This window comes from Homo sapiens, chromosome 17 (assembly GCF_000001405.40).
Source record: "Homo sapiens chromosome 17, GRCh38.p14 Primary Assembly".
Classification (NCBI taxonomy): domain Eukaryota; kingdom Metazoa; phylum Chordata; class Mammalia; order Primates; family Hominidae; genus Homo; species Homo sapiens.
The window spans coordinates 5,142,237-5,156,557 of NC_000017.11; the positions used below are offsets into that span (position 1 = coordinate 5,142,237).

The 14,321-nt window shown below is 38.5% G+C and overlaps 1 protein-coding gene across 12 annotated transcripts in view; it reads left to right on the top strand.

Moving 5' to 3' along the window:
- Positions 1 to 14,321, top strand: part of USP6 (ubiquitin specific peptidase 6) — a 58,960-nt gene that overhangs the window by 26,205 nt on the left and 18,434 nt on the right. For 11 of the 12 annotated variants that reach the window (NM_001304284.2, XM_011524058.3, XM_011524050.2 and 8 more), the window contains 7 exons: positions 161 to 266; positions 2,454 to 2,627; positions 3,169 to 3,343; positions 3,787 to 3,938; positions 4,847 to 4,958; positions 6,320 to 6,531; positions 13,186 to 13,370. In NM_001304284.2, coding sequence (NP_001291213.1) covers positions 161 to 266; positions 2,454 to 2,627; positions 3,169 to 3,343; positions 3,787 to 3,938; positions 4,847 to 4,958; positions 6,320 to 6,531; positions 13,186 to 13,370 — 1,116 coding nt within the window. Of the gene's footprint in view, positions 1 to 160; positions 267 to 2,453; positions 2,628 to 3,168; positions 3,344 to 3,786; positions 3,939 to 4,846; positions 4,959 to 6,319; positions 6,532 to 13,185; positions 13,371 to 14,321 lie in introns of those variants that run through there. The other variant, XM_011524059.3, reaches the window with a different exon arrangement.

The window sequence follows — 14,321 nt, forward strand, 5'->3', positions numbered from 1 at the left end:
ATTTTATCTTATTTGCCCTATTTAATATGAAATAGGCCAAGGAATACATCTCTTGTTTCAAAAAGAAAAGATATTTTGATGTGAGATGCTAGGCATCTTTGCCCACATGATTGTGATTTATGAGAATCTTTGGCAACAAATTTTCCTCTCAAACTTCTAGGACAAATCCCATTGGTATGAAGGGGCATATGGCTAAATGCTATGGTGATTTAGTGCAGGAACTCTGGAGTGGAACTCAGAAGAGTGTTGCCCCATTAAAGCTTCGGGTAAGCAGGTTAAAATAATATAAAAGTATTTAATTCCTAAATAGTTGTTTAATCATTTTTCTCTACTTGTTTTTTGTGTTTAGCCTTTTAGCTTAATGAACGTTTTTGGATCCTTTACTTGGTATAAACAAGAGGCCAAATTCTTTTGCTTGTTTAAATATTTGCAAAATACTACTGTATATGCAGTGGGTAGGATAAAGACCAAAGGTACACTCTAAATTTGGGATGTCATTCATTTTACTAATTTGTCAAACATCTTATATGAAGAGTAAACCTTTTTTGGTAATACTTCACTATTAGCAGTATTCTAACTGCAAGGTGGACCTCAGAGTCTTATTAATTACATCCAATCCAATACATTTTCAACATAACTAAGATAGTTATATCTGTAGAATACAAAGAAGTAGGCTGGGCGCAGGGGCTCATGCCTGTAATCTCAGCACTTTGGGAGGCCGAGGTGGGTGGATCACTTGAAGCCAGGAATTCAAGACCAGCTTGGGCAACATGGCAAAACCCTGTCTCTACTAAAAAAAATTATCAGCCCCCCGCCCAGCCAGCCGCCCCATCCGGGAGGGAGGTCGGGGGGTCAGCCCCCCACCCGGCCAGCCGCCCCGGCCTGGAGGGAGGTGAGGGGGTCAGCCCCCTGCCCGGCCAGCCGCCCCGTCCGGGAGGTGAGGGGCGCCTCTGCCTGGCCGCCCCTACTGGGAAGTGAGGAGCCCCTCTGCCCGGCCACCACCCCGTCTGGGAGGTGTACCCAACAGCTCATTGAGAACGGGCCATGACGACAATGGCGGTTTTGTGGAATAGAAAAGGGGGAAAGGTGGGGAAAAGATTGAGAAATCGGATGGTTGCTGTGTCTGCGTAGAAAGAAGTAAACATAGGAGACTTTTCATTTTGTTCTGTACTAAGAAAAATTCTTCTGCCTTGGGATCCTGTTGATCTATGACCTTACCCCCAACCCTGTGCTCTCTGAAACATGTGCTGTGTCCACTCAGGGTTAAATGGATTAAGGGCGGTGCAAGATGTGCTTTGTTAAACAGATGCTTGAAGGCAGCATGCTCGTTAAGAGTCATCACCACTCCCTAATCTCAAGTACCCAGGGACACAAACACTGCGGAGGGCCGCAGGGTCCTCTGCCTAGGAAAACCAGAGACCTTTGTTCACTTGTTTATCTGCTGACCTTCCCTCCACTATTGTCCCATGACCCTGCCAAATCCCCCTCTGCGAGAAACACCCAAGAATGATCAATAAAAAAAAAAAAAAAAAATTTGGTAGGCATAGTGGTTAGTGGTGCATGCTTGTAATCCCAGCTACTTGGGAGGCTGAGGCACGAGAAATGCTTGAACCCGGGATGTGGTGTTTGCAATGAGCCAAGATCGCACCACTGCACTCCAGCCTGGGCAGCAGAGTAAGACTCTGTCTCCAAAAAGAAAAAAAAGTAGAAGAATGAATGAATGAAACTAATGAATATAAGTTTTATATTAATATCACATGTAGTAGATTTTGGTGAAGTTAGGATTATTCATTATTTTTATTTAAATACAAAGCAAAAGCTTTTTATATTACAAATTATTAACTATAACAGCTACACATTTGACTACTTACCTCTTGCCAGGCACTATTCTAATTAATTTATATCCTCTAAATAATTCTAATGCGGTTAATAAAAGTTAGGATGCAACAAGACCAGAAAATGTAATTGTTGAAGACAACATTACATTATATAAAATAATATATACACATATTATTTTATACATGCTATGTATTATTATATACACATTATTTTATGCATGTTATGTATATATTATGTACCTGTAAAATATACATATTTTATATGCATATAAAAATGTGTAAAACATTATAGAACAGGATGTCTTTCCATGTGAGCAAATGCTGTTTTAATATTTCTGTCTTAAATAACATCTATGTGCCTGAAGAACAGTTTGCTTACATGATACTGAACTGAGGACACAGTATTGGCCAAAATACTTCTCTTTTTTTTTTTGGTCATTTGACATTAAGATTCAAAAGATTTCATGATTATCCAAAATACATTTGTTGAAATGGAGGCAGACTAAGTACTATACTATTTATTTTCTTACAATGGCTCTGATTGGATTATAGGACATGTTCATTCCAAATTTTATGGGTAGGAAATAATGACTGTGACTTCTCTTATATTTATAGCGGACCATAGCAAAATATGCTCCCAAGTTTGATGGGTTTCAGCAACAAGACTCCCAAGAACTTCTGGCTTTTCTCTTGGATGGTCTTCATGAAGATCTCAACCGAGTCCATGAAAAGCCATATGTGGAACTGAAGGACAGTGATGGCCGACCAGACTGGGAAGTAGCTGCAGAGGTTTGTCAGTTTTGAGTTTCTAATGTAAGCAATAGACAAAATGTTCTGACCACAAATACATGTAGCACAACTTAAATGCAAACTAAACTATTCTGAGATCAGAATTTTACTGCAAAAATTAAGGAATTTCTATTTCTATGCTTAATTGTTATGTGATAATGCCAAAACAAAAATACCTTTAATGAATATAGAAAACTGTTGCCATTTCACATTGTAAACTTTATGGGACTGGATGTAGGAATAATTGTCCAGTGGAATTTAAAGAGTCCCCGTAATTGCTAAAGTAATGCATACAGTGACCAATAGGCATGCTTTATACTTATTAATGGACAAATAACTTTAATATTTACCATTGTTACCTTGATAAGAACAAATGAAAAATAGGATTTTCCATCTCAATTTAATATTTTATGTTAAATGAAGAGTAAGGATTATATTCTTTACTTTTAAATCCAATATATTTAACCAGTTTCTGTGAATTTATATAGAAATGCCTCTCTTTTGGATTTTGAGAGAAAATTCTCATCTTTTTTATTGCTAGGCCTGGGACAACCATCTAAGAAGAAATAGATCAATTATTGTGGATTTGTTCCATGGGCAGCTAAGATCTCAAGTCAAATGCAAGACATGTGGGCATATAAGTGTCCGATTTGACCCTTTCAATTTTTTGTCTTTGCCACTACCAATGGACAGTTACATGGACTTAGAAATAACAGGTAGGTCACAAAGTTCTGAAAAATTACTTGATTCCATTAAATTTACTTTATTTAAATAGCCTGAATTTGTAAGCATAGTTATTTGTTTACAAATAAAGACTGGTAGTCAGCATATTATAATCGAGCAACCTAATTTTAGGCATGACTTGAGGTTTGAAAGATGTAGATTGGGGCATGTTTTTTTGGTTTCAAATATGCCAGCAACTCTCTTTAAAACCCTGCAAAGCCACTCACACTTTTATGTCAGATGAACACCAAAAAAATACTGATTTCACTTAATATTATCCCTAAGTACCATCTGTTTTAGTGTTTACCCATAAAATAAAAATTCTAGGCTGAAATATTTGCTATTATATTTACAGGTCAGATATATCTGTACACAGCATTTAAGGCTTTCAATGAAACCTGCATTTTACTGATAAAAGATCTTTTCTCTTTACTAGTGATTAAGTTAGATGGTACTACCCCTGTACGGTATGGACTAAGACTGAATATGGATGAAAAGTACACAGGTTTAAAAAAACAGCTGAGGGATCTCTGTGGACTTAATTCAGAACAAATCCTACTAGCAGAAGTACATGATTCCAACATAAAGGTAATGTTAACTACTCTAAGAAACTTTTGATTCTATCCTTCAAAGATGACATTTTTCTCAATTATGATGATCAGTTGTTAGGTTATGTGACCAAGAGAGATACTAAAACATAACGAAAACTGAACAACAACAAAAAATGCCAAGTTTTCCAACCCAGAAACTTAAAAGAGTTTTCTACCAGAATAAAGGGATAATACTGATGGTGGTATTTTTGAAGAAGGGAAATATGTAAGGCTGCCTATATGGAGTGTTTTAGCTGTGTCACTATAGTATAGGTTTCCTCCAAAGACTGCTGCTATTACCAAAGACTGCTGCTGTTACACTTCACAGCTCTTCTATATTACCACTGTTACTAGAATTCTTCCTAGGTTAAAGCATTTTATGTATTTACGAATATATATATTTGGTCTTTTAACACACTAAGAAATTAAGAGTAAAGACAAATTGACACCAATCATGTCTTTCTACAAACCAGCTGGGGAAACAAATAATCTAATAAATATATTGCTTACTCTAAATTAAGCTCCTGCAACTGCTATTATTTATATTCATCTTTGGGATTTCTGAACACACTCTCACCTCATTGACATTTTCTTAATATGAAATGCAACAATGGCGTCTCTGAGGGTTGGAATTTAGATCCCTGAGACAAAGGACAAAACTGAAGAAGTCAGTCATGTACAACACACTTCTTCCTGTGAAAAGAGATAATAGTTCAACAATTGAGATTAGTTTTCAGTTATTTTTATCAAGCATTCATCCTTTATGTAGTTGAAAAATTATTCAATCATCTCGTTGGTTTTATGGATGAAAGGACCTAAGACATTCTTTTGAAATACATTAGAGAGAGAACTTTTCCTTTTTATCTGAAACATCTCCCCCTTCTCATCTTGCTGCTGTTTCTGTAGAACTTTCCTCAGGATAACCAAAAAGTACAACTCTCAGTGAGCGGATTTTTGTGTGCATTTGAAATTCCTGTCCCTTCATCTCCAATTTCAGCTTCTAGTCCAACACAAATAGGTAAGATAGAACTAGAACTCCTTCTCATGACTGCACCTTTAAATATTTGTCTAAGAGTTGTCATCTTTTTTATATTTGTTCATGCTGAGGATGTTATAGCAGAAGAACTTTGGAACTCAAGGGAAACCTTACTGATTATTCCATATTTTTTCGATGAGAAACCTAAAATTTAGAGAACCCAAGTGACTTCAGTTAGATAGGTAGTTGTTAGCTAATATACCCTTGGAATTCAGATCTCTTTGAACATTTATCTAATACTAACATGGCAACAGCTAGTATGAGAGGAACATACTACCAGAAAATATAAACAATAGATATAGCTAGAAAGAAATCCAATATTATATGTAATTTAATGTGATCACTCACTGAGTCTTTTAGCCACTAGTATGCTTTGTCTATTCTTTATATTACTTACAATTAGGTTAATTAGGCTAATTCCCCAACTATAAAGGGCTTTATGAGGCTCCCTTCATTGACGTGTAGTAGGTAGATAGTCCTGACGGTGAGTTGGTGGATGATCTAATTTTAGTTTTAATTTAGAGTATCACTGTCTAATAGAATTCTGCAGTGGTGGAAACTTCTGTGATCTTTGCCATCCAATACAGTATCCACCAATCACGTGGACTGTTAAGAGCTCGAGATGTGGCTAGTGTGACTGAGAATAATGCATTTTTAATTTTTATTTTATTTTATTTATTTATTTGGAGAAAGGGTCTCACTCTGTCACCCAGCCTGGAGTGCAGTGGCATCATCTTGGCTCACTGCAGCCTCTGCCTTATGGGCTGAAGCAATCCTCCCACCTCAGCCTCCCAAGAAGCTGGGACTACAAATGTGTACCACCATGCCCAGCTATGGTGTATCTTTTGTAGAGATGGGTTTTCACCATGTTGCCTAGGCTGGTCACTAGCTCCTGGGCTCAAGGGTTCTGCTACTTCAGCCCCCTAAAGTGCTAGGATTACAAATGTGAGCTGCCTCATCCAGCCTAATTTAAATTTTAAATGCAACATCTGGGTAGAGGTTACTGTATTGGACGGTGTCTTCAAAGGCGAACAGAAGGAAAAGAAAACAAGTGGTAGAACTGTTTGTGTGCTACAACATGGTGCTGATACAGGTTTCTGCAAAAATTCTGCTTAATAGTTTCCAGCAGTTACTCTTTCCTTTTCATTTGGTCAAAAGTGTGAGTTAGGGAAGTAAAACTGGAAATTAAAATCTTCCAATAAATCTAGAATTATTTATACTATGATTTCTCCCTGCCCTGTGTTAAGAGACTACACTGTCTCTCGTCCTCAGGATACTTGAGAAAAGAGCAAAGATGAAAATACCACAAGCTTATGATGCTGTACTTATCTTTGAATTTGTAGATTTCTCCTCTTCACCATCTACAAATGGAATGTTCACCCTAACTACCAATGGGGACCTACCCAAACCAATATTCATCCCCAATGGAATGCCAAACACTGTTGTGCCATGTGGAACTGAGAAGAACTTCACAAATGGAATGGTTAATGGTCACATGCCATCTCTTCCTGACAGCCCCTTTACAGGTTACATCATTGCAGTCCACCGAAAAATGGTTAGTTAAATGTTAGGCAACTCACTGCCAGTCTTGCTAGTGTCATTTGTGAAATAGCCATTTTCTGTCTTTGCAACATCATTGAATGCATTTTCTTCTCTTTTTTCTTTAATTTTTAAAAATTTAATACTTTTACAAATTTTATTTTTTTACTTTTCTATCCTGTCCTCAAAACCTGTTGCTATGAATGTATTTTCAATGTATTATATATGCTAATATAAGTGATCAGAGCCAGGATTTAGTATTATTCATGATGGCTAATGTATGAAATGACATTCCTCATCCGTATATTAAGAGGCAACAGGATAGTCAGCACATCTGAGTACTACTTTCTTTAAAAATTTGTGTCTCCTGGCCAGGTGCAGTGGCTCACACCTGTAATCCCAGCACTTTGGGAGGCTGAAGCAGGTGGATCACCTGAGGTCAGGAGTTCGAGAACAGCCTGGCCAACATGGTGAAATCCCATCTCTACTAAAAATACAAAAATTAGCTGGGCATGGTGGCATGCGCCTGTAGTTTCAGCTACTTGAGAGGCTGAGGCAGGAGAATTGCTTGAACCCAGGAGGCAGAGGTTGCAGTGAGCGAAGATTGTGCCACAGCACTCCAGCCTGGGTGGTAAAGCGAGACTTCATCTCAAAAAAAAACAAAAACAAAAACAAAAACAAAGTATCTCCTAAGCCAGACATGTTTAGGAGGATCCCTTGAGGACAGGATTTTGAAGCTATAATATGCTATGATGCTCACACCTGTAAATAACCACTCAACTCCAACCTGGGCAATAAGTGAGACCTTGTCTCTAAAAAAATTAGAAAAAAACAAAAACCAACACACACAAAATTTATGTTTCCTGTGTGTTTATGTAGGTATGTACATCTTCACTGCCACATAAACGCGGATGGCTTTGGAAAAGTTTTTTGTTTTGGGTTTTGTTTTTTTTTTCTTAGAGGACACAAGAATGTTCTTCGGCAAAATCAAGTTGTGCATAATTCCTTTCTTGATAGTCTAATATATAACTATTGCATTAAAGGTTGACTCTTTGGTAAAAAAGAAAAAGGAAGGTTTGAAAACTGTGGTCAGTGGATAATTGTTAAAGAGGTAGTCTTCGGGTATAGTGGCAACTTGGTAGAGTAGAAAGGGCACTGAACTAGGAATTTAGCAACCTATGTTTTAGTTCTAATTCTGCCACTAGATAGCTGATTGAGCTCTTTGGACTTTAGTGTCCTAATTTTATAAAGGAAAGGAAAGGTCAGGTGCAATGGCTCATGCCTGTAATCCCAGCACTTTGGGAGGCTGAGACAGGTGGATCATGAGGTCAAGAGTTTGAGACCAGCCTGGCCAATATGGTGAAACCCCGTCTCTATTAAAAATACAACAATCAGCCAGGCATGGTGGCACACGACTGTAGTCCCAGCTACTCAGGAGGCTGAGGCAGGAGAATCGCTTGAACCTGGGAGGTGGAGGTTGCTGTGAGCTGAGATTGTGCCATTGCACTCCAACCTGGGCAACAAGAGCGAAACTCCGTCTAAAAAAATAAATAAATAAATAAATAAATAAATAAATAAATAAATAAAATAAAGTAAAGGAAATTAGGGCTTCTAGATCAAGTAAATTGATTGTATAGCAGCAACAAGAGAAAATGAAGTTGTAAAAAAGGTACTACTGTATTGGTTTCTTAGGACTGTTATAACAAATTACCATAAATTTGGTGGCTTTAAACAACAGAAATATATCTTTTTTTTTTTTTTTTGACAGAGTCTCGCTCTGTCACCCAGGCTGGAGTGCAGTGGTGCAATCTCGGTTCACTGCAGCCTCCACCTCCTGGGTTCAAGCAATTCTCCTGCCTCAGCCTCCCGAGTAGCTAGGACTACAGGCACACGCCACCATGCCTGGCTAATTTTTGTATTTTTAGTAGAGATGGGGTTTCACCATGTTGGCCAGGATGGTCTTGATCTCCTGACCTCGTGATCTGCCTGCCTCGCCCTCCCGAAGTGCTGGGTTTACAGGTGTGAACCACTGCACCCAGCCCAGAAATTTATTCTTTCACCTTCTGGAGGCCAGAAGTCTGAAACCAAGGTTTCAGTAGGGTGGGGGCTTCCTCCAAAGGTTCTAGGAGAGAATGCTTTCTTGTCTCTTCTAACCTCTGGTGGCTCCAGGCATTCTTTGGCTTGTGACTACATAACTGCAATCCCTGCCTCTTCACATGGCCTTCTCCTTCTCTCTGTCTTTCTCTGATAAGGATACTTATCACTGAATTTAGGGCCCACCCAGATAATCCAGGATGATCTTATCTTGACATCCTCAACTTAATTATATCTACAAACATCCTTTTACCAAATTAGGTCACATTTACTGGTTCCAGGGGTTAGAACATGGATATACTGTTTTAGGGATGACCATTCAACTCAACTACAGATATTATTTATCTTAGTATCAAAAAAATTAAATGCTGAGAAAAAAATTAAGTACCTAGGAATAAACTTTAAAAATGACACATAAGACATCTATATAGAAAATAAAATATTGATAGAAATTAAAGACTTAAATATTGGAAGGAATAAACCATGTTCATGGATTAGAAGACTCGATATTTTAAGATGTCAGTTCTCTACAAACTAATCTACAGATGACTTAATGCACAATCCCAATAAAAATGCAAAGTCTGCATGTGTGTGTGTGTGTGTGTGTGTGTGTGTGTGTGGTGTGTGTGAGTTGATAAGCTGATTCTCATATGTGGAAATACAAAGCACCCAGAATAGCCAAGATACTCTTGAAGAAGAATAAGGTATGAGGATATCATCAAGATTGGATATCATCCAGATATCAAGATTTATTTCACAAAGATATGATACTTAAAATAATGTCACAGTGGTACAAGAAAAGACAAATAGACCACTGGGATAGAATAGAGAGCCCAGAAACCAGTTCACAAATGTATGAACACCTGATTTATAACAAAGAGAACATTGCAGGGTGGTGAGAGAAAGTTTTCTCAGCAAGTGGTGCTGGGACAATTAGATATCCATATGAAACTTGGCACCTACCTTTCGCCACAATTTCAGGTGGTCTATAGAGCTAAATTTGAAAGCAAAACAATGAAACAGCCCTTGGAAGATAATAATGGTGAATTCATTCCTGACATTACGCATATAAAGAAAAGATTAAATTGCACTTCATTAAAATTGATAACTTGGCTGGGTGCGGTGGCTCATGCCTATAATCCCAGCACTTTGAGAGGCCGAGATGAGACGGACGGGTCACAAGGTCAGGAGTTCAAGACCAGCCTGGCCAATATGGTGAAACTCCGTCTCTACTAAAAATACAAAAATTAACTGGGCATGGTGGTGGGTGCATGTAGTCCCAGCTACTTGGGAGGCTGAGGCAGGAGAATCGCTTGAACCCCAGAGGCAGAGGTTGCAGTGGGCTGAGATTACACCATTGCATTCCAGCCTGGGCAACAGAGCGAGACTCCGTCTCAAAAAAAAAAAAAAAAGTGATCAATGACACTAGTAATCAGTGAAATGTAAATTAAAACAATATTATGATATCAGTGCACTCACCTGAACAGGTAAAATTAAACAGACTGACAGGGTTGCTAAGTAGAGCAACAGGAACTCTCATACCATGCTGATGAGAATATAAATTAATACAACTACTTTGGAATACAATTTTCTAGTTAAAGATAAGCAGTTCTACCTGTAGGTATCCACCCAAAAGATATGTGTACCAGGAGAGATGCACAAGAATATTCATAGCAGCATTATCTATAGTAGCCCCAAAATGAAAACATTACATGTCCATTAGTTGTAGAAGGGATTGGGAAGTTGAGATATATTAAGATAAAAGAACATTATACAGGAATGAAAATGAATGGATTTGTAGTTATATCCAGTATAAATGAATCTCGTAAACCTAATGTTGATGGAAAGAAGCCAGACAAAAAAGAATTAGGGTAGGCACAGTGGCTCACACCCGTAATCTCAGCATTTTGGGAGGCTGAGGTGGGCTGATTGCTTGAGCCCAGGAGTTTAAGACCAGCCTGGGCAACATGGTGAAACCCCATCTCTACAGAAAATACAGAAATTAGCCGGTGTGGTGCCACACACCTGTAGTCCCAGCTACTCAGGAGGCTGAGGCAAGAGAATCTCTCAAGCCCAGAAAGTGGAGGTTGCAGCAAGCTGAGATCACACCACTATGCTCCAGCCTCGATGACAGAGCTAGACCCAGTTTCAAAAAACAAACAAAAAAAATGAATTAAGTAATTCTATTTATAAATATAAAAACTTTTAAAACAGGGAAAATGAAATCTAGTGTTTATTTACTTCTGCATAGGATATAAAACTGTAAAGGAAAGCAAGAAAGTGATTACTGTAACATTTAGAATAATAGTTACCTTTGTGAGGAAGGGAGAATTTGTGATTTGGAGGAAGCAAATGGGAGGCTTTTGAGTGCTCACTATATTCTGTTTCTTAAACTCAGTGATAACAGAAAGCTAGTTGCTTTGTGATAATTATTTGAAATGTACTTTTTTTTGTTTTTGCAATGGAGTTTCGCTCTTGTTGCCCAGGCTGGAGTGCAGTGGCACGATCTCAACTCACCGCAACCTCCGCCTCCTGTGTTCAAGTGATTCTCCTGCCTCGGCCTCCCGAGTAGCTGGGATTACAGGCATGCGCCACCACGCCCGGCTAATTTTGTATTTTTAGTAGAGACAGGGTCTCTCTATGTTGGTTAGGTTGGTCTTGAACTCCCGACCTCAGGTGATCCACCCACCTTGGCCTCCCAAAGTGCTGGAATTACAGGCATGAGCCACCGCATCCAGCCAGAAATGTACCCTTTTACCTCTGATTTTTATTTTTCTCTGAATTAGTAGCCGTTGGCTTAAAGTTCCTTTCTTTTTCTTTTTTTTTTGAGACAGATTCTTGCTGTTGTTGCCCAGGCTGGAGTGCAATGGCACGATCTCGGCTCACTGTACTCTCTGCCTCCTGGGTTCAAGTGATTCTCCTGCCTCAGCCTCCCAAGTAGCTGGGACTACAGGCGCGTGCCACCATGCCCAGATAATTTATGTATTTTTAGTAGAGACAGGGTTTCACCGTATTGGCCAGGCTGGTCTCGCACTCCTGACCTCATGATCTGCCTGCCTCGGCCTCCCGAAGTGCTGGGATTATAGGCATGAGCCACTGCACCTGGCCCTGGCTTGAAGTTTCTAACCATGTTAATAACTGGGAGTAGAATTTATCTCAGTAGTAACTGAGAAAGTATGGGCCCTAGGGCACTAGGAGAAATTCCTTAATGAGAGGATGAAAATTGTGTGGGTTTAGCTATGTTTTAAAATTTTGTGAAATATTTGTACTGAACTCTGTCTGGATTTCTCTGGGTCTCATAATAATAGTAACATATGAAATAGGGTCTTAAAATTATGTATTTAAGCTTAAATGAAAATGGCAAAATAAAATGCTTAATAATCTGAATAAAGAAGGGTCTTTTTACTTAGAAACTAGCTAACTTAACCCTTAGTGAGTTGATAAGTTGTTGATTTAGCTTTTCTAATTACTCAATAAATACCAAACTTCTTAGAGAATTAAATATTCAAAGGTTCAGCAGCTTTGGATAACCTTGAACTCCCACCAACCATTCCATTATACTAAATGTTTATTAAACAGCCATTTCCAGGATAATTCTGTGCAGTATCTCTATATTAAGGAATATCATAAATGTCTCTTTAACATACTCAAAGCAAATTTTTAAAATTTTTACCTTACTTTTATCCTATCCTGTATTTAAAAAACAAACAAAAAGGATTAAAATCACTTAACTGCTTTTAGGAAGGTGGATAAGCTTGTTACAAAATAGAATTACTAGGTTTCACAAATCTCCAAAACTTTGGGAATTGCCACTCCAACAACCACTATCGACAGTTTATCCCTAGAAAACTATAGTTGAGATAGTCTTTTTTTTTTTCCCCCCACTGGCATCTTTTCATTTCTTTTTCTGAGACAGGTCTCACTCTACCTTCCAGGCTGGAATGTAGTGGCACGATCACAGATCACTGTACCAAACTTGCCAGACTCAAGCAATCCTCCCACCTCAGCCTCCTGTATAGGTGGGACTACAGACACATGCCACCATGCCCAGCTAATTGTATTTATTTCTTTATAGAGATGGGGTCTCCCTACATTGCCCATTCTGATCTCAAACTCCTGGGATCAAGGGATCCTCTTGCCTCAGCCTCCCAAAGTGCTGGGATTACAGGCGTGAGCTACCACACCCAGCTTACTGGCATATTTTCTGGAGAAAGAAAGAGTCTCAATTGTTTAAAAGCCTTTAGCTATGAAGCTATTACTAGTTTTTACATGTGATTCAGTGTATGTGAGAAATGTTTATCAGAGAAAACTCTGGTTTGAATATATTGATTGCTGAAACCCAAGTTTGATAGAATAGGCAACAACTCTAAAACTGGCAATACCTCAGCGCTTTTAATGACTCCACTGTAAACCGTTCTCTTTGTGTCAATAAAGATGGTTTTATAAACATAGAGAAGAATGTGATAGTGACTAATTTGAAATGGTGATAATGCCTATCATTGGCAGAGTTAGAAGAACTAAAGGGAGGAATCAGAGGCCTGTCTTCTCAACTCTCTATTCTCGTTTGTACATACAGATGAGGACAGAACTGTATTTCCTGTCACCTCAGGAGAATCGCCCCAGCCTCTTTGGAATGCCATTGATTGTTCCATGCACTGTGCATACCCGGAAGAAAGACCTATATGATGCGGTTTGGATTCAAGTATCCTGGTTAGCAAGACCACTCCCACCTCAGGAAGCTAGTATTCATGCCCAGGATCGGTGAGTTCAGGGGATCCATCTAAACCTGTGGTTTCCAAACTCTAGAAAAATAATTTATATGAATTCTACATGACAGATAGGGCCCAGCCCATGTCAAGTTTGGCGCCCAGCCAAAATAAGTTATTTAAATAATTATTTAAAGTATTTATTTTAAATAAATACTTTATTTTGGAAGAACCACTCAGAGAGCATACAATTCAACCATTTGGCTTGATATTTGGAGTAGGAGGGACAATACAGCTTCCTTTTGCCAAACATTCTAGTGTCTAATAATCCTTCCATTCTCTAATCTTTTGCCTGGATTCGTCCTGCTAATGCTTCAAGTAATATCCTTGTCTTCTGTGTTGCAGAAGTAGAGAGTATGAATTCACCAGGAAATGTGTATAATCTCAGTCCTCTGAAATTCAGAATGAGAGCGACTGCATACATGAACTCTGAAAAGTCTCATGATACAAAAAATAATTCTGTTGGATTATTTCCATACCATGTCATTCTTTTTTCTTTTTCCCTTACCATGTCATTTTAACGTGAAGTAATTTCATAAATCTAGATAAAAATAATTAACATTTTCTGTTTTCTTTCCCTTTTTCCTACCACTGTTCTATTTGATTAGTAAATGCATTTACTCTGAATAATTTTTGGGATTGTGATGATGTCTTATTTTTATCTCAATCAAATTGTAGATCATTTTCTTTTCTTTTTTTTTTTTCTTTTCTTTATGACAGAGTTTTGCTCTTGTTGCCCAGGTTGGAGTGCAATGGCACGATCCTGGCTCACTGCAACCTCCACCTCCCGGGTTCAAACGATTCTCCTGCCTCAGCCTCCTGAGTAGCTGGGATACAGGCATGCACCACCATGCCTGGCTAATTTTGTTTTTTTGGTAGAGATGGGGTTTCTCCATGTTGGTCAGGCTGGTCTCAAATTCCCAACCTCAGGTGATCCGCCTGCCTC